The sequence below is a fragment of the Homo sapiens genome, chromosome 10 (assembly GCF_000001405.40).
Source record: "Homo sapiens chromosome 10, GRCh38.p14 Primary Assembly".
Taxonomy (NCBI): Eukaryota; Metazoa; Chordata; class Mammalia; order Primates; family Hominidae; genus Homo; species Homo sapiens.
In genome coordinates this window covers 48,544,177-48,571,094 of record NC_000010.11, presented here as the reverse complement: position 1 = coordinate 48,571,094, position 26,918 = coordinate 48,544,177, and the positions used below count along the sequence as shown (strand labels likewise).

General features: G+C 46.6%; 1 protein-coding gene across 25 annotated transcripts in view, besides 1 other annotated feature; it reads left to right on the top strand.

Annotated features, from left to right (window-relative positions):
- ARHGAP22 (Rho GTPase activating protein 22) overlaps positions 1-26,918 on the top strand; it is a 226,435-nt gene that overhangs the window by 85,171 nt on the left and 114,346 nt on the right. For all 25 annotated transcript variants that reach the window (NR_045675.2, NR_144644.2, NR_144646.2 and 22 more), the window contains one exon: positions 15,545-15,632. Coding sequence is in view for 19 of the 25 variants with exons in the window: in XM_024448100.2 (XP_024303868.1) it covers positions 15,545-15,632 (88 nt within the window). In the remaining 6 variants the exon portion in view is untranslated. The remainder of the gene's footprint in view (positions 1-15,544; positions 15,633-26,918) is intronic.
- Positions 15,153-15,653: an enhancer, noted in NCBI's record as "H3K4me1 hESC enhancer chr10:49763487-49763987 (GRCh37/hg19 assembly coordinates)". NCBI's record gives its function as "activates a minimal SCP1, AML or CMV promoter by ChIP-STARR-seq in naive H9 embryonic stem cells {active_cell/tissue: H9 hESC(naive)}" and the evidence as "EXISTENCE:reporter gene assay evidence [ECO:0000049][PMID:30033119]".

Below are 26,918 nucleotides of genomic sequence, written 5' to 3'. Positions count from 1 at the left end.
CTCCAAAAGTCAAAAGTTCATCCGAGACCTTATAAGGCAAAGAGGAATGGAAGAAAAAGAACTACATTCAGCCAAATCCTAGCAGTTTTCAGAAGTTCCACCCTAGATGAGTCAAAAACGAGGCCAAAGAAGCAGGCATGCTCTGGAGGTCTGGCCAGAGCAGGGCAGTTTCCCAGAAGTCCCACTGTGGGCACCCCTGGCAGTCCTCAATGGCCGTTTCGTGCAGAGCGTTTGGAACCCTGGCTCCACTATTGGGCCAGGTGAAGGTCTCTGGGGAGACACAGTTGGTGGCAAGAGAGCTGATGGATACAGACCTTGATGCCATGGGGCCCTTGAAGATAGGGTCACTCATGGATCTCATTGCTCTTGGTGAATTTGCCCCTGACCTCCTGAGAAGCCCTGAAGAGTCTGACTTCAATCCCTCCTTCCTACTTCCCACCTGCAAGTCTCTGTCCACAAAAGAACAAGCAACTGATTACCTCCCAAGCTGCTCCCATAGATCTTGCCACAGCAAATTTCAGTCAGTCTGTCTACACTCAGAAAAAAACAAACCTGAGCATAAAAGACAGGCTCTGATGCATCCCTCAGACCCTCTCTGCCCCAGGATAAGCCAGCGATGATTGAAAAGTGTCTTCTGCAGCACGTTAGAGAGCACCTTGAGTTAATTAGGAACTGAGCTTCACACTCCCATTAGTGCTGCAGAAGAAAAATTCAACAACAGATATTTCCTTTTTTAAAATGTCCTGGGGGACAACTTGAAATGCTTCTTCTGTGAAGAATTACTCATTGGAGTCATAAAAAGAGAGAGGGGTATCATTTATTTAGATTCAACTGTGAGACTTTGTGGCTTTTTTAAAGGGATGCTGTATTTTTGCAGCTATTTTAGAACCATAATTCCCCACATTAAACATATCAAAATGAAAACTCTATTCAAGCAAGTTATTTTAAGTCAAATATAAATTTATTTACTAACTTGAAATTGGCAGTAGCAGCTGTGTTTTTAAACAAATTTCAAACAATATTTAGTTAAAACCATTTTTTCTGCATGTCAAAGAAAAACACAAGATTTAAGTAATCATACAAAATACATTTTAAGGTTTGTTTTATACCATCCTGCAGGGTTCTGAGAGCAGGCCCCTGAAATGACAGCATCAGCAATGTCTGGGGACTAATGTATGGACAGCAAAATTCTGCTACTGTCCTAGGAAAAGGAAATCAAGTTAGAAGAGGCCTGATGACACCTCAAGACCAAATAAATCACAAGTGACAATGTCTTGGTTGCCCCCGAATTGTTTTGCACCCAGAGCTATACTGCCTACAAGACGGATCTCCACCTTCTAAAAATGACTTTTGTGTTTCTTCCAGTGTTACCGGTAGTAATGAGCTTCTCTCAGGATCTGCTAATTTAAGTCAGCATGGATATTAGTTTACAGCACTTAAAGGTCTCACACTTATAATAGAGCAATCCTTTGGCTTTCATTGCAACCCAGTTAATTTACAGTAATACGTAGAAAACTGATAGTTAAATTATGAGTTTTATCAATCACAAGGCAGAAAAATGAATCAAGTAACATTGAAGCAGCATGGGAAACATATTTTATTCATTGTTCAGAAGAGCATAACTTATGTTTCATTGTGTTTGGAGCATTCTAGCTCCTTAATGCATTGGTGGAATACTGAGTTACAGTTGATCAGCATAATGGAGGTGGTTTGGAAGGGCTGCCGAGGACGATGGGTACATTTCCCAAATGGACTGTGGCCTTTGCTAAAGACAGGGATGAGGTGTGCCTTCCTCAGCAAAATGCAGCCAGTGCCCCTTGGCAGCAGTTGGCTCAGCAGATCAGCCTGGCACAGCCAGGGCAGGTCAATGCAAAAGTGTCTATACCATGTTACTCAGGCTAACCTGTGCTCAACTAAGCAGCATGGCAGCCTCTCTCACAGAGACACCATATACCCCAGAGCATAGCACTAGTTTCAGGGCCTCCCAGAAATAAGACAGAATCAAACCATTTTCAGCCAAAGGAGGGCCCCACCCACTCCAAGGAGGGGCCCTGGACCCAGCATCAACATGTCCCAAAGGTGTATTTTGAGCAGAAAAAAATCTTCCAAGAGTGTGCTCTTAGGCTCAGGACAAGACAGGACAGCACCAGCGCTCCCAGTCTGAGTAGCTGGGTCTGTTCTTCGTGGGCAGAGAAGACTGGAAACACTGTGCAACCCTGGAAAACATGGCAGGGACCATGGCATGGAAGAGCAGGCCGGTGGTTCAGTGCTGCCAACCCAGGCAGTGGAGAGGCCCTGTGTCCCCAAGGGCTCTTCCTGGTGGGGGTGGGGGCCAGGCAGCACCTACCAAGAGCTCCCAGTTCTGGAGGAACAGGAGAGGCTGTTTCACACCCAGCCGGCAGGCTCTGAAGAGCAGCGGAGACGGTGAGCATCACAATGGTGCAGCAGTCAATGCCCATATCCACCTGAGTCCCAGATCAGAGAAAATACTAAAAAGTGGGCGGTCACTCCCTCTGGAGAGGCTCAGCGCATGTGCCCTCTGAGGGCTGGTTCCCTGTGAACATACCTGTCTCAACTGCAGTGTCTTATGCAGCCACCAAATGCCGTGGGCAGCCAGAGGGATTCAGCTCATCTGAGTTTCCCCCTTAGCCCCTCTACATGGAACACCAGGTACTTCAGGGGGCAAAGAGGCCTACCATATGGTCCAGTAAGCCAAGGAGGAAGCAGGGTCGTTTGCAAACTCCCAGGATCTCATGCTGCCCAGGACATGTCATTCAGCCAGGAATGGGCATGGGGTCCACAACCCCTCTTGGACAGTGATCTAGATCAGTCTTTTCTGGGCTCCCTCCAATGCTCCAGTCCAAAAAGTGAGGCAGGAAGTGCGTACTACACGGCCATCACAGCTTGAGCCAGAACCTAGACATGCCATGCTCAGTGCTTCTAACCATCAGAGTAAGACAGCTCCCAGCAGCCCAAGGTCCCCAGAGTCAAAGTAGATGAGACTGACCTCTCCTTTCTTTTTCCTTCCCAACATCCAATCCATGGAGCAAGGAAATCATCATTATTAGTTAAATGGATTTACCAGCATGGAAATACGATGTTTAATTAGTGCTATGATTTTATAACTTCTTTGTTCATGTGGCCAGGTGATCAGCTAAGGACAAAATTCTCTAACACTTATTTTCTCAAAATAACATCTAATTAGTAAAATGAACAATGTTAAATGTCCTTGAGATCCCAGCAGCTAAACATAATAGAAGTTTACCTCTCACTGTAGTAATGTCTGTGGTGGGCCAGATGTTGGCCTCATCTGTCTCTGTGGTCACCAAGGTTGACTCAGGGGGAGAGATAGGAGAGAAGACTGGAGGTCACTGGCAGTTTTTAAAGGACCAGGCCTGGAAGTGGATGCTGTCACTCCTGCCCAATCCCACTGGCCAGAACCCCATACCATGGCCCCAACCTAAGCACAAAGGACACTCAGAGAGCAGCCCATGGAGATTTGATGACACTAATGGTCTGCCCCAAATGTGTTGTAAAATCACGTGCACCTTGGCCTCTCCTCCCTTCTCCCAGGGCAAGCTAAACACTAGGGGATTCAAGAGCTCCCCTGGGTAAGCATTCTGTTCACTAGTCACTTCCACATTAATCCTGCTGCTTCCCTGTGGCACTGCTCAGCACCCAGCCCTGGGCTGCCACCAAGGCCGGGGCACTAGTACTAGTGACTCTTCCCAACGTGGCATGGCATCTCATTCCCATGAGCATGGTCGCAGGCATTAGAATGTTCACATGAATGACAAGACTGAGAGGAAGAGAGGCTGAGCCTAAGGCCACTGGGTGAGGACCAGTAGTGCAGCCTCAACCACAGGGTCTTCTGCAGGGCTCAGGAATACAGTGAGATGAGGCTGCCTGAAGGGGTAGACCCCAGGAGTGACTCAGGGCAAGTCACAGGCACCCTGTTTGGCACGGAGTCTAGTGCAAGGTCCTGGCTTACCACAGAGCAACCAGAACTTTGCAAAGAGGACCCACTCACCCTGAAAAGGGCACTCCCTGGGGTTTGGAAGAGGCCATGAGCTCTGAGACCTGAAGATCCTTGAGGGCTCCACCAGGGTTTCCAGCTTAGGCTGCAAGTCTACCCCAGGTCTCAGGCCCCAGGCCCTGGGCTCATTCATGACTCCCAGCTGGACTTCCACAGGCTCAGGGCCTGAGCTGTGCAACACTGAAAGTAAGAGCTTTAGGGGCTGTGGCCAGTTGGGAGGGATAGGGAGGGTGCAGGGAGCCGGTGTTCTGAGTTCAAAGCCCCTGCTCTCTGCAGAACATGGTGCTGACCTCAACACACTGTCCCTGTGGCACACCACATGTGCTAAAGATTTTCTAAGAGGACCATGGATAGCCTCATGACACAGTGAAGAAGCAGGGCGTTCCCAGGTCCGATCTGCTGACTGCAGACCTGTGGATCATAACAAGAGCATTTGGAGTTCACAGGTTCACAGGTGGCAGCGTTACTGCGGAATCTGTTGGAAGAAGCTTCAAGAGAAAGTCATCAGCAAGGAAAGAAGCTGGACAAATGATGTATCTCAACTCCTTAGGGAGGGAACGTTCCTTTACCAAGAACTCAATTATCTCCAATTTTCACAATGCCTTTTTAAATCTGTATTCTGGACAGTCATGGGGCATGGTTACAGGCTTGTGTGATAAGGAAGCAAGGAGGATGCTTCCCTCCTTGGCACTGAACTTCATTCTGATCTGTATTATTTATGTACAACTCAGAGACATTCAGTTCCTGGTTGGGTGTCAGGTGGATAACGGTTTTTAAGATTGATCTGAGGCCCCAATCAGAGTTAACAGAGATAGGGAACCCTGAGCGATTGCTTTCTAAAACATGCCTGCCATTTTCCAAGATGCTGCCTGTGGAGGATTTTATCAGGAGACTTGGTAAAAAGAATTGCAGAAGTTGTTTCTTCAGGCAGTCTCCTAGACAAGGTGAAAAATGAAGACTTCCCAGAGAGCCAGTCTTTGATCATGTTGAAAAGAGCTGAATTCAGACTGCAAAGACCTCAAACTGTCACAAACTCCAAAGGCTGGCCAATAGGAGGATTACAGACATCCCGGGCCCTGCAGGAGGTCCCCATGGACTGTCATCACACACTAGGAAGCAGGGCCCTGCCTTCACCATGCTAGGACTACTGAAGTCTGTTTCACACCTCATTTCATGGCACAAGCAATGGTATTATTAGGGGAGGGGAGATTGTTTCTACAAACAGACCAAACAAATGATACAGTGACCAAAATGAGTTTTGAAGTCATAATTATGATAATTCATATTTATATAGGCCCCTAGTGTATATACAGCTCTATCTCAGATGGCCCAGTGACAAATCTGGGACAAATATCTTCATTTTTACACATAAAGAAACCAGGCCTCAGCCTGGTGGAACAGGCTGGAACACACCTGTCTGTGTTCTACCTAAGCGGCAATGTCACAGTAATTACAAACCCTATAATAATTCTAAGTGTTTCTATCTATTCCCACTCCTATAAAATGTTCATGCACAGAGTCTACTCCTTGGCCCTATAATAATGCATGATCACAGCAATAGCACTTACTCTTACTGGGCACTAAACCTGGGGAAATCCTCAAAACACCTCCACATTGCAGAGGAGGAAACGGAGGTTCAGCCGGGTTGGTGGAGGACCTGTCTGACCCTGACCCCCAGTCATGAGCTCACACAAAACTTCTGCAGCACTGCCCTTTCTTAGGATGCTGCCATCCTGGGTACCTGCTACAGCCCAGCTCCATTCCACACCTTCTGCTCACTTGATCCCGTTTAATTCTCAGAGATCTGTGAGGGAGATGCCACTACCCCATTTAACAGAGAGAGAAACTGAGGCTAAACTTGTCCCAAAGTTTACTATCACTAAGCAGTAGTCAGGATTAAAACCAGATCTGTCTGGGGCTAAAACCTGTGAGGTTTCCATGACAGTCTTACAGGATCTCGGATTTATTATGTAATGGGTGCTTATCTTTTTACGATTTGGGTGAGTTCTGGGTGTGAGACATCTGACTAGAGACATGTCAGTAGAAATCATTGTCGCTGTTGCTGTTGTTAATCTCCTTTATTCCCCTGGACTTAGCTGAGGCTTCCAGACCATCCGGTGTTCTGGGAGCTGTTCCCAAGACGGATCATTCTTTGCAAAATGAGCTATGGCAGTCTCCTGATGTGGGCAGGGGCTTCCTGCAGGCAGGGATGTGTGCAGACCCTGATCAGAGGACCTGGAAAGTACTTGCCACTTTATTTCAGTCTGAGGAAGCTTGAGGGGACTGTCACCCTAAATGCTTGCAGAAGAGAGAGGGAAATCACTCTTTGTTTCCTGAAAATGATGGATGGGCATTCTGGGCTGCAGAAACACTGTGCAGGCTGGCCTGGCCCCAGCACATGAGGTCGGAGAGTATGATGGTAGTCAGATGGCAGCAGCCCGTGAGTAGGGCATGGGCAGTGCTGCATGAATTAGCTGACTGCTTTCCATTTCAACTTTAACGTTGTTTAAATTTTACGTTGATGCAAACATTATAGGGCAAAACATGAAAGCTCCTTCACCATTCCCACCACTCCCTCCCAGAGTGTAAGTTTTCTGTGCTATTTCTATACATTAACATGTAACTTGTGGGCTCTGGGGAGAGGACAGTAACAGACACTGGGATGGAATTGTATTAAAATTATTTTTCTGGTGTTCTTATTTCTTAGCAATTCATCTTAGAAACCTTTTGTATGTACCTCATTCTGGTATGGCCTTACCAGAAATGATTTAACCGTTCCTCTGTTGACAGATGAACAAGTCATTTCTCATTTTGTGTAGTAAAAAATGTTACATTGAGGATTGTTATGCATCCATTTTTGTGCATTTGTTTTTCCTTAGAACAAATTCTTAAAATTCAATACAAGGTTACAGGACATTTTATTTTAAAGTTGTTTTAGACATTGCAAAATTGCTTTCAGAAAGTCTTTATCAAATTATGTATCAAAAGTGTATGAGAATGCCCATTTCTGTATGCTCTTCCTGTTGCATGGTCATTAAGTACTGACCGTCCTTTTAAATTGAGAATCTTATGACAAATTTATTGACCATTTGTATTTCTTCTATTAATTCCTTGTTAACACCCTTTACCCATTTTTCTATTGGGTTGTCTTTTATTTTAACAACATATTTTATTTATTTATATTGGATTACCCAATATGTCCAAAAATCAGCCTTTCAACAAGTAATCAATATAAAATTATTAATGAAATAGTTTACATCTTTTATAGCAAATCTTTGGAATCCACTTATAGCATATCAGATTTACATTGCAAGTTTTTATCAAATATATGTGATCTGTATTTAGATCTTATCAAATCTACATTTGAAGTAGATTCACATACCCAACTTGTTTCAGATATACTGTAGTCTACTGTAGTATAAGGTAGAATAATGGCTCCCCGAAAGATATGCCTGTCCTAATCCCTGGAACATGTGAATATGTTATGTTACGATGGCAAGCATTTAATTAAGGTGGCAGATAGAATTAAGGTTGCTAACCATCTGACCTTAAAGAAATTATGCTGGATTGGCCAGGTGCGGTGGCTCACGCCTGTAATCCCAGCACTTTGGGAGGCCGAGACGGGCGGATCACGAGGTCAGATCGAGACCATCCTGGCTAACACGGTGAAACCCCATCTCCACTAAAAATACAAAAAATTAGCCAGGCGTGGTGGTGGGCGCCTGTAGTCCCAGCTACTGGGGAGGCTGAGGCAGGCGAATGGCATGAACCCAGGAGGCGGAGCTTGTAGTGAGCCAAGATTGCGCCACTGCACTCCAGCCTGGGGCACAGAGCAAGAATACGTCTCAAAAAAAAAAAAAAAAAAAAAAAATTATCCTGGATTATCCAAGTGGATCTAATATAATCATAAGAGTTCTTTATAGTGGAAAGGGAGGCAGACAAAGAGGTCAGAGTCGGAGTGATTTGAAGATGTGAGGCTGCTGGCTTCGAAGATGGTGGAAGGGTGCAGGAAGACTTTAAAAGCTGGAAAAGTGAGAAACAGATCCTGCCCTAGAGCTCCAGAAGGAACAGTCGTGCCAGCTATTGACTATAGCCCAGTAAGGCCCATTGCAGAATTCTGACCTCCAGAACTGTAAGAAAATAAATTTTTGTTGTTTTGAGCCGCTACATTTTTAGTAATCTGTTAGGAAACAAATACATATTTCTAAAAGTTTTTTGATAACTGAATCAAATTCAGTTTTTCTTAACAGCTTTATTGAGGTATAATTGACATACAATGAACTGCACATATTTCATGGGCACAGTTTGGTAAGTCTTAATATAGATGTGCATCTGTGACACTATCACCACAATCAAGGCAGCAAACATATCCATCACTGCCAAAAGCTTCCTTGTATCCTGTTGTAATCCCTCCTCCCACTCCCTTTGCCCCTCCTGACCCCTGACCCCAGGCTGATCCGCTTAGTTCTCATTTTCTACACTTTTATAGAAATGGAATCACACAGTATGTACTCTGGCTTGTTGTCTGTCTTCTTTCCCATGGCATAATTATTTAGAGAAGCATCCATGTTGCAGCGTGCATTAAGAGTTCATTCATTCATATTGCTGGGTAGTATTGCACTGTATGCAGGTACCTCAATTTGCTTATCCATTTACCTGGTGAAGGCCATTTGCATTATAGCAAATTTTTGGATATTAGAAATAAAACTGCAATGATTTGCATACAAATCTCTGTAGGGAAATATGCTTCCATTTCTCTTGGGTATATGTAGGAGCGGAATGGCTGGGTCGTATCCCAGGTGTGTATTTAACTCTTTTTTCTTTTTTTTTTTTGAGATGGAGTCTTGCTCTGTTGCCCAGGCTGGAGTGCAGTGGCTCGATCTCAGCTCACTGCAACCTCTGCCTCCCGGGTTCCAGAGATTCTTCTGCCTCAGCCTCCTGAGTAGCTGGGACTACAGGCACGTGCCAACACACCCCGCAAATTTTTGTATTTTTTAATAGAGACAGGGTTTCACCATATTGGTCAAGCTGGTCTCGAACTTCTGACCTCGTGATCTGCCCACCTCGGCCCCCCAAAGTGCTGGGATTACAGGCGTGAGCCACTGCTCCGGGCAGTATGTTTAACTCTTTTAAGAGTCTGCTTAACTGTTTTCCAAAGTGATTGTCGTTTAACATTACCACCAACAGTGTATAAGAATTCTCGGTCCTCTGCACCCACACCAACACTTAGTCTGGTCAGTCTTTTTACTTTATCTAATAGATATGTAGTGGTATCCAATTATGGGTTTAATTTGCATTTTCCTAACTACTAATGATGTTGAAGATCATCTCATGAGCTTATCTTCCAATCCTATATCTTCTATAGTAATTATCTGTTTAAATCTTTTGCCTCTTTATTTAAATTGGATTGTTACCTTATTATAGAATTTTGATGGTATTTTATATATTTTGGGTACAAGTCCTTTATCAGATACATGATATTCAAATATTTCTCCTAGTATGTAATTTGTCTTTTCACTCTCTTAATGTGTTTGAAAAGCAGTTTTTTTAATTTAAATGAGTCATATTTATCAATTAGTTCTTTTTTGAGTCAAGCTTCTGATGTTGTATCCAAGAACTCTTTGTCTAATCCAAAGTCATAAAGGTTTTCTACTAGAAGTTTTATAGTCTCAGATTTTGTGTTTAGGTATATCATTCATTTTGAGTATATTTTTATATATGGTGTGAGGTATGAATTGAGATTCATTTTTTTGCACACAAATATGCAGTTGCTCAACCATCATTTGTTGAAACAATATCTTCTCCAATGAATTGCCTTTACACCTTTGTCAAAATCAATTATCCATATATGGAGACAGATAGATAGATATGGAGGTATATGTGGGTCTATTCTGATCTTTCTATTCTGTTTCATTAATCTGTCTATTTTAATGCTAATATCTCATTGTTTTGGTTACTGTAGCTTTACAATGTCTTGAAATCAAGTAGTATTAGAACTCCAACTTGATTATTCTATTTCAGAATGAGCATACTTTCCAATGTATTTTATGAGGTTAGCATTACCCCTATATAAATCTAGCCAAAGACATTACAAGACAAAGACACTATAGATCAATATTCTTTGTGAACTTAGTTGAAAAAATTTTCAACCAAATTTTAGCATATTGAATCTAACAATACATAAAAAAGAAAATACATAATGACAAAGTGGGGTTTATCCCAAAAGTCCAAGGTTGATTTAATGTTTGAAAATTATTAATGTAATTCATCATATTAATAAATGAAGAAAGAGAAAAAATAATCATCTCATGGATTCAGAAAAAGCATCTGACAGCATTCAATATTGCTTCCTGATAAAAATTCTCAACAAACCAGGCATACAAAGGAGCTTCTTTAAACCTGTGAAAAGCCATCTATGGAAAACTGAAAGCTAATATCATACTTTATGGTGAAAGACTAAAAGCTGTTTCCCTATGATCAGGATAAAGATAATGATATTTATTCTCACCACTTCCATAAAACACTTTCATGGAGTCCTGCCTGGTGTAATAAGGCAAGAAAAAGAAATGAAAGTTGTTCACATTGGAAAGGAAGAAGTAAAACTGTATCCATACCCAACATAATTGTTTATGTCAAAAATCTGATGAAGCCTGCAAAAATCTACTGAAGTAAAAAATGAGTTATTATTGTTGGGGAAAATGAAAGCTCTAAATAAATGAGGAGTTATACTGTGTTCATTGGTCAGAAGACTTATTATTGTTAGGATGTCAATTCTCCCCAAATTGATCTATGCAATCCCGATCACAATCCCAGTAGGCATTTTTCTGTTAATAGAAATTGACTAGCTGATTCTAAAATTCATATAGAAATTTAAAGGGCCTAGAATAGCCAGACAATTTTGAAATAGAATAATTAAGTTGGAGTTCTAATACTACTAGATTTAAGATCAGATGGTTAGCAAACTTAATTCTATCTGCAACCTTAATTAAATGTTTGTCATGTAGCATAACATATTCACATGTTCCAGGGATTAGGACAGGCATATCTTTTGGGGAGCCATTATTCTACCTACTACAGTATATCTGAAACAATTTGGGTACATGAATCTACTTCAAATTTGATAAGATCGAAATACAGATCACATATATTTGATAAAAACTTGCAATGTAAATCTGATATGCTATAAGTAGATTCCAAAGATTTACTATAAAAGATGTAAACTATTTCACTAATAATTTTATATTGATTACTTGTTGAAATGCTGATTTTTTGACATATTGGGTTATCCAATATAAATAAATATGTTAAATAAAATATATTGTTAAAATAAAAGACAACCCAATAGAAAAGTGGATAAGGGATGTTAACAAGGAATTAATAGAAGAAATACAAATGGTCAATAAATATGTCATAAGATTCTCCATTTAAAAGGACAATCAGCACTTAATGACCATGCAATGGGAACAGCATACAGAAATGGGCATTCTCATACACTTTTGATGAAACATAATTTGATAAAGACTTTTTGAAAGCAATTTTGCAATGTCTAAAACTTGCAAATACTGAGCCCTCCTAGATGCAGACAAAATGGCACATCCTTTGTCCATTAGCTACTTACACCAATGGACTGCATTTGTATGGCGCTAGAGATGCATTAAGTCAGCTGCAGCCTCTCAGGAGGAACTTAGATACATAGGCTGAGCAATTCCCTAACAGAGCAAATTAACATGAGCTCGGACACATGGGGAAGGGGGAAAGGGCCCAACATTTGTGGAAATCTATCATGTGCCTGGAGTTTGCACACTCTTTCTGTACCTAGGTGCCCGTCTGCAAACTGCCGTTCTAGGTGCAAACTGTGTGCCTGGTTCCTTCTGAGATACAAACACTTAAGCCCTGACCTGGCACTATAGTAGGAAGGCCAGCTGGCAAAGTGCTGACACTCACTTTGCGCTCCTCAAAGAATTCCCAGGACCCTCATAGTTGAGGGCACTGTCTGAGGTGCCAGAAACAGGTACTGGTTCTTGTGACCTGCATGCGTCTAAAGCACAGAATCTTGGCAAAACACAGGCTCTCAAAGGCCATGGGGCCAGATATCAAATCATTTAATCCTCACGACAGCCTCATGAAGCAGATACTATTATTGTCCTCATTTTCTAGGTAAGGAAACCAAGGTGCTGAGTGAGCTCATGTAAAAGGTGTCATCCTCTGGCCACCTTCCTTTAGTGTCCCTAGACTAGTGGTTCTCAAAGTGTATTCCCCAGGGCTCTCAGCATCAGAAAAATGGTTAGAAATGCAAATGGTCCTACTTTCCCCAGACCTATAGGGTTAGAAACTCAAGGGTGGGGTCCAGCACTATTCTGATTGAACACTTACATTATTAGAAATTGAATCAGGCTGGGTGGTGTGACTCACACCTGTAACCCCAACACTTTGGGAGGCCGAGGCAAGAAGATTGCTTGAGCCCAGGAAATCGAGACCAGCATGGGGAAGATAGGGAAACCCCGTTTCTACTGAAAATTAAAAAATAGCAAAAATTAGCTAGGCATGGTGGCATACACCTATGGTCCCAAATAGAGGTCGAGGTGGGAGGCTCACTGGAGCCCGGTAGGTAGAGGCTGCAGTAAGCCATGATCGCAACACTGCTCTCCAGCCTGGGCCACAGAGCAAGACCCAAAAAAGCAAAACAAAACAAAACAAAACAAAAAAACAAAAAAAAAACATTAAATCGCAAAAATCTACTGATAAATAAGTTATAGTAAAAACAAAGGTTAAAAAGTATTCAAAATATATCATTTCCTAACTTAATGTACTATGACTTCACGTACTATGTCTTAAGCTCTGGAGGTTACTGACATCCATTGCATCCATGTGGTGCAAACACTATGGTGCATCTCTTCTCAGCTCCACATGCAATGATGTCATAAAATGGGCCATGGAGGGGGAGGGCATTTATATCACTGAAGTTAGCAAACACTCCAAATCCAGGTACTTTATAGTTTTCAGAGACCCCATTGTTAAACACCACCAAAACACCAGACTCTCTGTGTTTTAACAAGCCCTGGGGTGACTCCAAGGCACGTTCAAAGTTGAGACCTACCCTGAGTGTCTCAGCTGAATGCTATGTTCTGACTCCATTCACATCTTTTCATCACAGTCTTAGCAAATGTCATACCAGGGACCAGAGAGCAGACTCCCTCTGCTCCCCAGGCCCCCAACCCCCACCCAGTCCCAGAGCCACATTCTTGACCTGTGGGAGGCAGAGGAATCTGGGCAGCCGAGGGCCAGTGCTAGGGCCCCTGCAGTGGTGGGGGGCACACTGGGATTCCCCTGAGAAGTGAGCAGCAGATCCCACAGTCACAGCCTGGCTCTCCACGGTGGCTTCTTGCAAACAAAGTCAGTTGGTGGCTGCCATGATAAAGATAGGGAAGCAAAGAGTAAAGCCTGGGGCTCCAGCATTGGGCACACCTGAGCTGACGTCCCCAGCACACCCTTGTGGGCGGTGGGCACAGGGCTGGTTGCATCACCTTCCTGACCTCTGTCTGCTTGTCTGGGAAGACAGGAATGGTAGTGTCTACCCCTCTGGGGTCTCTACATTAAATCCAGTAATTTAGGCAAAGAGCCAGGAATATAGTACAGTCTTTATAAACAGAAGCTATTACTGCTTTTCCATTTAGCTATAGTAGAAAGCAATGTCAATGTCAATATTGTTACTCTCCTTGTACGGATGACAGATTTTGGGACACAGGAAAAAAAACAGCAAAGTACCTAGAATGACACAGGGACTCTGTTACTGAAACAGCAAACGCCCAAGATGCATCCCGTTAGCCAGTGATGGATCTCACCCACACCCTCTAATGAGCACATTTCTCCATCCTGGGGCTGCTATCCTAATGTATTTCCAGTAGCTCCAAGTTCTCTAGCAAGAAAGTAACCATCAATTCAGTTACAAAGATTACCAGCTGGTTCTCTGGTTTATTGCTGTAATTCCTCTAAAGCAAGCATCTGCGGGTAAGGACGATGTTCTGCCTTTCCACATTAACGTTGCTTAAATGAGAAGAGTCACTTCCATGTGTCCTTGGAGCGCAGGATTCCAGCAGCACATGGGAGGCTCCCATCACCCTGTGAAAGCCAGGATTTGCCTGGAAAATATTGGGGGTGTGTACTCTGTGAGTACACATGGGGGTAGAGGCAGGAGGCGACCTGGATACAGCAGGTGACTTTGCCCCTCACCTGGGTAAATGCAGACACAGGGATGCGGTGCCCCACTAGGTGTGGAGCCCTTATATACAATAATAGCAGGCATTTATTTAGCAAACACTTACACAGTTCTCACTGTGTACCAGTACTAAGTACTAAGAACTTCCAAGTACTAATTCATTTGATGCTCCAAATATCCCTACAAAGTACTTTATTATTCCTGTTTCACAGACAAGGAAACTGGGGCACAGACAGGTTGAACAATGTTCCTGTAGCTGAGCCAGGATTTGAACCCAGGTAGTTGGTTGCAGGGATGGAGTTCAAAATGCGTTTCCCATTGAGAGGACCAAAAATATGTAGTGAAGCCATACCAAGTCTGAGTTGAGCAAAACCAAGCATGAATGAAATAAAGGCCTCAGCACAGCTCATAGTCACTGACATACAGAAGGAGGATAAAGGAGGCCCTGCCTAGCCTGGGGGTTGGGGAAGGGTCAATCACAGCGGTTATAACACCTCATTCTCTTGAGTAGGACTTACCACATGGGAATCTGGCATCTCGACCCTCCTGAGACATGTCCCATTGTGCAGATGTGGAAACTGAGGTTCAGAGACATTGAGCGGGTTACCTGAGGTCACACAGCCTGGAAGTGCAAGGCTGGGACTCAAAGCCAGCCTCCCCGTCCCTATACCTCATGCTTTTTTTCTGCACCTTTCAGCCCAGCTGCCAGACCTCAGCACTAGAGAGCAGGTGGAGCCGCCCTCTGTCATGCATACACATGCACCCCAGGCACCTGGCACTCTCTGTAGTGGGGTACCATGTACATGGTAACTGACTCCTATCTCATTGGTAAAGAAATGAAATCTCACCCAGCCAAGACGTGGCAGGACTGGACGCACACAGATCTGTTGATCCTTTCCCCCATGTTGCCTCAGGAGCCAGAGTGCCAGGCTTCTCCCTGACCCTGTCCAGCCTGAAACCCTGCTGGCCCAGAAAGGCTTAGGTGGCACACTGGATCAGGCGCTCCCAGTGGTGGGAGCCTCCCTCCCTGCTCCAGAGTTCCCCCTGCCTGTGGGCAGAGCTCCTCCAATCATGTATGCAGACTACAGTGTCCACCTTAATCCACCTGGGACTCTGAGTAGGCCTCATCTCTCCCTAGGAGAGGAGGTGTGTGCCCCTCTCTGAGGCCCAGCCTTCCCAGCCATGGCCTGGAGGGCCCCAGGTCCTAACCTCTCCTCTCCAGGGACCCTGACGACAGCAGTCCCCTCCCCATCATCTCATGCTCCCTGTGTTTGTGTTTGCCTCCTTTTTAGGGATTTATTTCTCTACAAGGGACACAGGTGACTGAACTTCCTCCTGGCCCCGAGGACCCAGGGAAGCACCTCTTTGAGATCAGCCCAGGTAGGCCTGAGCACCTTCCAGCTCTGCAGCCCTGGTGGGGGTGTTGCCATGCCCCTGGCCTGGGAAGGGCAGACCTTCGTGACACTCCTCCCGCAGGAGCCACAGCACAGTCTCCAGGCATGACTCGGAAATGTGGGCCAAATCGACAGCATACTCACATGGGGAAGAAATTAGAAAGTCCCATCAATTATCTGGACAATGAGCTTTTGGGTAATGCGAAACGAGGATTTTTAAATTCACGATAAATGCAAGGAAAGAAATTAGTCAATGGGAACATCTCAGGGTGAAAATCTAAACACAATACCTGGAAATAAAGCCAGGGAAAAACACTAGCACAGATCAAGAATATTTAGGTAAGGATGATTATAAATTCCAAGGCAGAGAATTGGGATGTGGCAGGAGGAAGGGGAATAATTTTCCTAAAGAACTGCTCTACTGTCACGTTAGCAGTTACAAAACAATATTTTAAACTTCCAAGTTTGACAATGTCGTTGTTAATGCACTAAGTAAAAGTGCCTTGCAGAGAAGCCAGTGTACATGGCAGGGCCGGCTCTGCTGTCAGCCAGTGTTTTCTTTAGCTTGGCCTCCCCTAGAAGCAGAGCCTGAGACAAGGATCTGGCATGAGGAAGGGAGTCAGAGAAGGGAAGAAAGCCAGCCCAGACATGCTAGTGAGTGGGTTGCTGCTGCAGGCATCCTAGCTCAGTTCCCACAGGGGCTTCTGGACACAGTGCAGAACAGGCTTCAGAGGGGTCTCATCCAAGAAGTGAGGCTGGGGCTCTACCCACCCACTCCCACCCCCCAAGTCCTTGAGAACTGCTTTCTGGGGAGTAACCGACATTTCTAGCCTACCCTCACATGGACAAAACTCTGCAGACAGAGACAGCCTTCAGGGACAGTTGCAGATGCTTGAGGAAGGAGACCACTGGCAGCGTGATGGGAACAGTGAGTGCTGAGGAGTCTGGGAAGGGTACCAAGAGTGTCAGCTGAATTTAGACATCCTGGGAAGTGGTGGCTGTGAACTGAGTGTGCTAGGGCCTCACTGTGGCCCAGTGAACCAGTAAATCTATGATTGGTCGCAAAGCAGTAAAGCCACCCCAGCCACCCTGAGAAATGATCTATTGGCTGTCCACTGAGGGAGCACCCCAGGCTCAGGCCATGAGTAGAGGCTCTTTGGGAACAGGTATGAGAAGATCCTGCCTGGGATAGGGGCATGTCTACCTTTGTCCTGTCCATACCAGAGTTCGCAGGGGCACAGGCAAAAGTTGAAGTGCAGAAACACCCTTTCCAACTATACGCGCCTGTGCAAAATTCAAGTACCTATGGTTTCACTTGGGTATTCCTTTTCATCTAATGCAAGAATCTTTGTGGTAAAACTGCACATCAGAAGGTGGTAACAAAGGGATCCTGGGGTATGGAGTAGAAAACAGAGGTTGACTGTGGAACCAGGAGAAAAGGCCTCAGCTATTCAGATAGAGAAGAAATGCAAGTAGTGACGTAGGCAGGGCCCTGCCATCTAGGCGAGGGGTGTGGCCCCTGGCTCTGGGGACAGGGGTAGTGACTCAAGGCCAGAACTAGAAGGTAGAGGTCAACACACTCCAGCCATCAATTCAGAAAGGCACTGAGTGTGTGCTCCATAGGCCAGATAAGGGACATCACCTGTGTGCATGTTCATTATCTGGGTCAGAGCTATTTACAAGAATTTATTTGACTCTTGCCAGTGGTGTTGGGGGTGTTGGGGGCGGTAGGAGAAGACCCTTTGCCATATAAGGTAACATAGTCACAAGGTTCCAGAAATTAGAAGATGGACATCTTTGAGGACCATTATTCTGCCTCCCACAATACTCCCAACATCCCTCTAAGATAGGGAATGTCGTCAGACCTATTGTACAAAAACAGACCGTGGAGATTAGAAAGAATCCCCAGAGAGACACACAGCTAGTGGCGGAGTTGGGGCTTCAGCCCAGACATTCTGGGCTACACACTTACCTTGCCCTCCAACACAGGCATCTGGCCATCTGAGGACCCCTACAGATTCTAGCATTTTCCCCACCTGGGCCTAAGGACTTTGTTATGGGAAGGAAAGTTCCTGAACTCCTTTGTCTCAAGCACAGCAGCAGTAGCCTGCCTGCGCATCAGGTTCCTGCAGATCCTGCGAGCTGCTCCCCAGAGCTGCCCATCTCTGCCCTCCAGCCTTTGTGCAGCTGCTGAGCAGTTCAGGGAGAGCGGGACGGGTGGTGGGCGGTGAGCGGTCCAGTCAGCCTTTGCAGAGTGCGGCGCAGCTATCTGCAGAGCAGAGCACAATGCCAGTGCTGCCCGGGGCCCAAGAGTGGTCCCCTCTGCTCCCCTCCCACTGGGGGCTCCGGATTTAGGATGCTTCCTATCAGCCTGCTCAGATGGGACCTGGGAGGCTGCACTCGAAGCTCATGCTTGGTTCTGGCTGCAGCTGGCAAAGCTCCCCATCCTTCACAGCCCATGAAGATGTCAGGCCAGAGGGGTAAGGTGAATCTCCTGAGGCCAAACAGCTGGCAGGTACAGGAGCCTGGACCCTCCCAGGTCAGCCTGACCCCAGAAGGGTGGGCTTCCTGTTACAGCAGTTGCTGACTGAGGCTTCAGCTATAGGCCATGTTGGGGCTAAAAACGAATAAGAAGATTGGATGAACCCACCTTAAACCACAGCAACGTGCAGTCACAGGAAGGCCAAGAAACCCATTCACATCCAACTCAGCAAACCTCTCGTGTGACCTCAGCTTTGAGCCAGCCTTGCAGGGCCCTGAGATGAGCAGGGGTCAGTCTCTGCCATTAGGGAGTCTGGGGACATTTTCTTCCTGAGCTCAAGGCACAATAAGGACTTATCCTCACTAGGCTGAGCACAGTTACCTGGGGGCAGGAGCAGGAAGTATCACCAAGTGGGCCATGCCAGTGTGCACCAAGCACAGCCCCCGGGGTAAATGTGCAAAGACCAAGAGGAAATCCAGGCTGGGTGGGTGAAGGGTGGCAAGTGCATCTGGGGGGACAAGGGGCTTCTCCTACAGTTCCGAGGGTGCCAGGTGGCAGGCTCTGTGAGCAGTGAACTAACAGGCGCAGGAAGGAGCCTAACAGCCCCGCCTGGGGTCTGGGCCTAGGCCAGGAAATCAGGGCAGGATATGAGGAAGGAGGACAAACCCCGGATCACTTCCAGGCTATGCCTGTGCTGGCCTGTGGTACTGGTCACACCACAATGGGTCCCTCACTCTCCAACCAGCACCCCCAAGAGGGGGAAAAACTTGACAACTCTTGGAAATGTGACAGAATTCCAAGGAAGGTCATGCCTAGAATTAACTACGTAAATTTTAAGCCATAGTTCTATTTGTGCAATTCAACGGTATAAAAAATGACAATGTTTTCAAAGTAGAATTAAAAATGAGGAAACATTATACTGTGAGTGCCATCTAGTGGAGAGATCTGCCAGTTCTGGGCCAGAAAGTGCAGGCCCTGTTGCCCACCCCCAGCCTTTCAGCCAGCACAGCTAGATAGGAGTGGAGCTTGAGGCCAAGCCATCTGGCTTCCAAAGCCACACACTAAAATTGCCCTCCAACACAGACATCTGGCCATATGGGGCCTCCTACAGATTCTAGCATTGTTCCCATCTGGGCTGGGAGGTCTTGGAACTTGATACAGCATACACCTCTGGTTCCAAAAGCACCTGAGAACCTGCACATCCAGCCACTGAGCAAGACACAGAGAAAACACTCTTATAAGGGGGCTTTAGTGCCAGTGGGACTTCTGTCCTCTTGTGGCTGTGGCCTGCCACTGCTTTCCCGACATGGTCAGTATATAAAGCGTACTGAGAGGTGGGAGCAATTGCTTTGGGCAGAGGTGACGGTCTCCTCCCTGAAGCTGCGGGGACACGCAGGAAAACCACTTATAAAGTTTAAGGGAGGCTGAGAGAAAGGGTGACTGGCATTTGTGTCTTGCTTGGACAGTTGCTTACACACAAGATTTGCTTTTCATGGTTACCCAGGCAAGGAAAATCTGACTGAGGACTGATGGCAAATGGGGTTCTGCCAGGCACACCTCCTGCCGTAAGCATCCAGTTCTCAAGAGGAGCAGAATGTGAAGCCTCTGTGGGACCACAGGCCTGGGCACTGATGGAGAAAAGAGGATGACATGGGCCCTCAGACTTTCTAGAATTCTCATAGTGCAGGGCAGACAGGCAAGATGCCACCTGCAGGAAGTCAGCTGAGATTTGAGGTCAGAACGCACAACAGATCCCCAGTGCCCAGAGGAGCTGGTTGGGAGGGTGCCCCTGCCCCAGTTCACAACACCGTCCACCAGGGAGGGAACTGCAACCTTGCCTGGCAAGCAAAGAAAGGTCTACATTTCCCCTCTGCCTCCTTCCCACCCCAGTGCCCAGGGTGCAGTTCAGGGAAGAGTCTAGGAGAAGCAACCCCTATCTATGCCAGCACACCCCAGTCCGTGAGGGCCACAGTGCTGGGGGAGCAGCACAAAAAGAGCTTTGAACCAGATGTGAGGGAACAGAATTAAGGATTGGAGAGATCCTTAATGAGACTGTTAGAATAACTAAGAGTGGCACACACTCTGGACCCTGGGAAAATCACCAAGTGAGCAACGACTCAAAGGGAAGGTAGGAAGTGATAGGCATAGTTATTGGGAAAGTAAAACCATTTCATGTTTATTCTCCAGTGAGCTTAGCTTTTTTGTATTAGGGTAAGTGAACTGCTGGAATAACCCCCAAATCTCAGGATCTTGACACAAGAATGTATTTGTCTTTCATATAAAGTCAAAAATGAACACTTGTGATTGGCAGGCAGTTGATCTCCCAGCATCTTCCTATTTCATGGTTTCGCCATCTGAAACCTGTGGCTTGCAAAAGTATCCTAGTTGTTTCCATGCTAGGAGGCCATCATGCCTGGGAGATGTGTTGGTCCAGGCCTGGAAGTGGCCCCATCATCCCGTCACAGCCCATTGGCCAGAATGCAGTTGCATGGCTACACCTCGGAGCAAGAGAGTCTGGGAAATGGAGTCCACCTCTTTCCAGGAGGAAGGCAAGGCTGGTTTGGTGAACAGTCAGTAGTCCTGCCATTCTGTATAATGATCTGTTACCTTGGAGTAAGAAAGACACCTTCCTACCCTCACAGAATTAACAAGTTCAGGAAGCAGGCAGGAAGGCAGACATTGACTCACAGGATGAGAAAGGCTAGGAGGAGAGTAAAAAGGCAATTGTGTGAGCCTGGAGGAGGGGACCCTAATGCACGCAGGGAGTGCATGGGACTTCCAGGATAAAGTGACAACGACCCTGCTCTTTGAAGGTTAAGTGAGAGTCAGCCAGGTGAAGAATCAGGGAGAGCAGCTGGGCAGAAGCAGCAATGGGCAAGCACAGTGGGCACGGGGTCTGTGTGTCTCCTTCACACCTTAGTTCCAAGGCGCTCAGCACATAGGTAACTGAATTTAATGTAAGGATTGGAAGCAACAGGAGGTTAAGCTTTCTGCCAGAATGAAAAGTTGTCCTCTGTGGCAGGAGAATGGTGTCGGGCAGTGGTTCTCAAGCTTTAGTGAGCCTCCGCCTCATCTGGAGGGCTTGCAAAAAACACTGCTGAGTGGGCTCAGGGTCCAAGGTGGAGAGGCTGCCCCTGGTGTAGAGATAGTGGGGGACTTAGAATCCTGGAAGGGTGAATGAGATGGGCCTCACAAGCGGACTGAGTGAGAGGAGGTTTGAGTTAATTGGGGGCAGGCAAAGCTATAACCAATGTTTTAATTCTAATAATTATTATTCCAAGAGGAGGAGGACCGTATAATGTATAAGATGCTGGTTTGTGCTTTGATCTCCTGGCCCTTTTTAATCCCTAGGCCACTTGCCTCAGGGGAAGGTGAGGTCTCTGCAGCAGAAAGCAGAAATCTCCTGCTCTCCCACCCCAGATAATTGATGTGGACAGGGTCGGGAAAGAGGCGTTCCCCTAGACTGGTCACCCTGCCCCCAGCAATGCCCCAGGAAGGTGATAGGCATGGTGCCACCAGGAAAGCAGGCTCCAGACACCAGGGTCCCGCCTCAGACAGACACACCATGGTCAAGAAAGGCAGGAGAGCTACCTAGCTTCCAGCCCCAAGTGACTGCAGGTAAAGACATCAGGTGACCAGGAGGGACCAAGAACAGCCCATCCCATTGCCAGGCCCCATGTAAGCCTGACCACAGCAAAGAGGACCCCTTCCCTCCATCTCAATAGTAGCTGGGACTCAGCTCCCTTCCAGCCTGGGAACATAGGGCTTGGAGATAGAATTAACATGATTCTTTCTAACAAATATCATATTTGTTGAGTGCCTGAGGTTGTAGACCAAGGTGTGTATGAGTGCTAGTGGGCTAAACATTCACTGAGTTCCTTCTAAGGAATGAAGCTGAGCACACCACGTTTATCCTCACCACACTCCTGGGACTAACCTCTACTAACCCATCTAACAGGCAAGGCCCCTGGGACTCTGACAAGCTAAGTAACTTGCTGGGATCCGAGGGCCGGTGAGCGGTGGAACTGCAGCTTGAGCCAGCTCTAACCCCAGAGCCCTGCTCTTCCTCAGCCTGCTGAGGCTAGCTCCCCCGGGGCAGGCATGAAGGAGCCAGGCCCCACAAAGGGACTGAGACTCAAGGACCCCCAGGTCCTGCCCACCTGGTACTTCTGTCTTGCCAGGGCAGCTGCCTGGCAAACCCTGCCCCTCCCAGCCCTTTGAAAGCTGTCTGCTCCTTGCAGACTTGATCCTGGGGGCCTCTCAGACCTGGGCTTTTTGCTGATGTGGGCATCCAGCCCCAGGCCAAGTTTAGGCCTCCCTTTAAATCCACAAGGAGCGGGTGGGGAGTGGAGAGGCCTGCTTTGGCACTCTGGGCAAAAAGAGTTGCTAAGATCCCAGAGCAGGCCTGTCCCCAAAAAACGGCCATGTTTGGTGAGATGAATTAGGTCATCCGTTAAGCTTTGTAACTCATTGCTAAAATCCGTCTTCTGGAATTAGCACAATGCTATTGAAGGGAACCAAGTGGGTTGGTGCTATCAAAGGGAACCAAGTGGGTTGGCTGCAGGCTTGAGACCAGAACCATAAGTCTTTCTAGTGAGTAACCGTAAATGGGGTGGGGCCGGGGGAGTGGAGATTAAGAGTCCTGGTTGGAGCAGGTTGCAGAAGCCAGCTCTGGCTAACTCTAGCAAAGGGGAAATTCACCAGAAACCAGGGGGTAGGATGTGATGGGAGTGACACTTGTGGAAGGGGCAAGCGGCTGGGCTGTCACGGGGCCAGGAGCTGGGAGGGGCGAGCGGGTGGTACTCTGTGCTGGGAAGGTTGAATCTCGCCTGGCTCTGCAATCCCGGCATGGCTCACTTGCCGAAAGCCCAAAGTCTCAGTATCTGTGCTTAAGCTACATGCCTACCCCTGACTACACTGGGGTGGTGAGGAAGGGCCTATCCACTCTGGCATCTGGACCAGCCCTCCCAAGACTTCGCCTAGTGGGGGCAAGGAGACTCCAAAGGAACTTGGGTGCCTTCCAGAGGGGAGAGTAGAAGACAAACAGCCAGTCTCTGTCAAATGTTCACTGCTCCAGATGGTCCATGACTGTATTTCTGCAGGGCTGAGTGTCACATCATTGGCCTTGCCCTTTCCAAGTGCCAGACAAGGGGCCAGGACGGGATGCCTTTTCAACAACATTGCACCGAGCCGATGGCCCCCCACACTCAGGAGCAATTCCTACTTGTGGGGAAGGACCTGAGTGTGCAGTGCTGAGGATTAGCCCGAGGAAGACGTGAATGGCCACCCTGGATCTGAGGAAAAGGAGGAGGAGGAGAGTGCTCTGTTTTCTGGTGCAGAAGGAGGTGAAGGGTACCACAGCTGCTCTGAGGCCTGGGTCTAGTCCCCATCCTGGAGCACCTGTCTGCTTTGGGCTGGGAGCCCCATATTTCTCAAGATCAGGGTCAGGAGACTCGGGGGCCAGCTGTACCATTCAGAGGCCTGGCAAGCTCTCTGCTCTCCCACAGAGGTCCATGCTCCTTCCCTCCCACTGGGCTCCTTGGGGCCTCCCCCCCAACTCCCCAAACACCAGATGGGAATCCTGCAGGCAATAGGAGGCCTGGACAGGGATGGCTTTGAGGTCTTGGGTTTTCAGCTCCAACCAGTCTTCAGAGACCATGGTAGTAGCAAAGCTAGCATTGTGTCCCATGGGAATCAGGGCCATGGGGTTGATTGTCGCCAGACACACCACACGCGGATGCAGATGTTGCCTAGGCAAGCTGGTGTCTGCATGTAGAAAGGAAGCTTCCGAGGAAGAGCTGGGGAGGCAAGCCTGGGAGCCATCTTCCTGTTTGTGCCCATTTTCCACACACTCTCAACAGACATCAAGGGCCTCACAGCATCTAGTCAGTGCTGTTCCAGACCACCCATCTCTCCAGGCCAGAGTCAGGGAGAGCTGGATGTGAGCATAGCCATGCTACTCAGGGACTGTGTGGGTTTTGACAAGTCACAGAGGGCTCCGTGCCTCAATGTCCCATAAACTGGGGGTGAGAATATTGCCAAGCACCTTGGGTTGTGGTGAGGATTCACTGAGAACCCAGATCCTGGCTCATAGTAGGTACCTGGTCTAGATAAGCTCCCCTCCTCCCTGCATGCTCTCTAATCATTAATCGTTATGATTAATAACAGCAACCCAATCCCATCACAATGCTGTGTGATGAGTGCTCTGATAGAGGTGTCCCTGACTGAGACACTTTTATCTTTAGCTTCAGGATTTCCCTTGGCCAACGGCACAGTAAGTAACCTCAGAGTTCAAAGCATTCAGCAAACAATGGAAAGGCAGAGCCACCAGAAATGTACACATGATTTTCATGACAGGTATGGTAATGCCATGTTAGCTAGCGGAGCCTCTTTCTCTACTGCCCGTATGGACCTATGTTGCAACACCAATTGGAATTGGATGGAATCTGTGCCCTGTTGCCAGGGTCACCCCTAACGGAATGGAGAGATCAGTAATCATCCCAGCTGGTGTCATACTGAATTGTTTAAAACACAAATCATAATTGATGCCAAGTAAAAGCTCCATGTGCCCATTAAAATATGGCATTATGGAAAAAGTAAAGTACATTTGAATCCTTAAAAATAAAACAAAAACTATGTGTTAGAAAGATCACTCAGGGTAGACCAACTGAGGGGCTTACAAGAACTGTAATGTCTGATGCTCATCTCCACCAATGTCTATTCTGTGCCCCCACCCCTACCCTGGCAATGTCGACAGAAAAGACCACACTGCCACAGGAGTAGCGGGGACCCCTGTGGGAGGCAGCGCAGAAGCCAGGCTGCTTAAAGCAGAGCCCTGAGTCTTTCGTGCATTTACAAGTTTATGTGTCAAGTTCTCCAGGATCAAGCCAGGGAGTCCTGATCACTAACAACATCTCTGCCTTGGGGGCCTGTTTAAGTGGCTTCCAGACTCAGCTCAGACCCTAGCTCTCAAGGGCAACCAGATTAGATTTCTTCCCTTCTCTGAATCTCAGTTTCCCCCTGTGTAAGACGAGAGGGCTGGCCCAGTGACCTCCGACGTGTCTGCTTGAACGAGTAGAATGGCACCAGCTGGCATTCTATAGCCAAGTTTGTCCAGAGGGAGCCAGTTCCTGCCCGTCTTATGGCTACACAAGGTCATTGAAGTCGCCCTCAGGCATGGAGCTTGTAGCTGCCTGGCCTTATCCAGCCTGCCCTTGGAGCAGATAGGAGACTGCTGCCTGCTGTCTTAAAGGGAGGCCTGACCTTGAAGGAGAGCCAGTGTGCACAGATTACTCCGCAGAGGAGACAGATACTGTGTGTCTGACATGCCCAGAGCATCCCTGATCACATTAGCCGCCGCCTGAGTGGGGAGGATGCTGATACCGGCCTATCTCGGCACCTGGTACCAGCCAGCCTGAGTCTTGGCCTGACCTCGTGCAGCCCCTGCTGAGGTTGTCTGCAGAGCGCCAGATGATGGGTAATGACAGAAATGAAATTAGATGAGAAGTTTGCCAGTGATCCCCACCCCTGAGATGGGAGTGGCTCTTACACTTCCTGGCTTTGCAGTGGGGTTCTCCTGTCTTAGCCTCACTTCTCTCAGCTCAGCACAGGACCAGGTGTGGGAAACTCCTGCAGGCTCCCTGGAAAGAGTCCCCTTGAGCAGGATCATTCCTTTGGCCAAAATCGTGTCCTAGAGCAGCGCTCTTCTATAGAGATGTAATGCAAGCCATGTTTGTGGTTGTAAATTTTCTAGTGAGTACACATGTGAAAATATCTGCATAAATATATACACCTACTACACACTCACAAGGACTAAAAATTTAAAATTTTTTTAAAACTAAAAGGAAAGAAAGCTAGTGAAATTGTTCTTAATAATGTATTTTTATTTAAACTACTGGCTCCAAAATACTATCATTTCAATATGTAATCAAAATAAACATTAGTGAAATATTCCACATTCTTTTTTGCTTCCAAGTCTAAATTGGTATTTACACTTAAAGCACATTTCCATGCAGACACTAAATTTTCACTGGAAGTACTTGATATATATTTACTTATTCTAATTTTTTAATTTTTTAAATTGACACATAATAATTGTACATATTCATGGGGTACATAGTGATGTTTTGATACATATATTGTACAGTGATCAGATTAGGGTGATTAGCATATCCACCATCTCAAGCATTTACCATTTATTTGTGTTGCGAGCATTCACTGTCCTCCTATTTGAAATTATGTAATATATTAATTAACTATAGCCATCTTTGATCGGCATTTAGATTTCATAAAATGTATGATTGAAAAGTAGAGTCACATACCCAAGTTATTCCAAACATACTTAAATGTTTTTCAGCAATGGAACTGAATGTCAGTTTTTAAACTAATGTAAATTAAATTAAATTGACAATTCCATTGCTCAGGCACACCTGCTTCATTCACATGCTCAGGACCCACATGTGTGGTGGCACCGTATTGGACAGCACAGGCCTAGATGAGAACACCAGCATAGAACAGGTGCTCTACAGGCAAAAATGAAAGAAGCAAGGGGAGAAAGAGAAAGAAGGAAGGATGAACAAAGAAAGAACGGCAGGGATGGGGAGGGGGTGGGAGCCTCAGACTTGGAGTAAGACAGAGCTAGATTCACATTTGAGCTCTGCCATTTGCTCAATAAAAGAACCTGGACCAATAACTTAAATCCCATGGGCTTCATTTTCATCATCTGATCGTAGAAGGGAAACTGCCTACTTGGCAAGACAGCTGTAATCATCATGTGAAGTACGATATGCA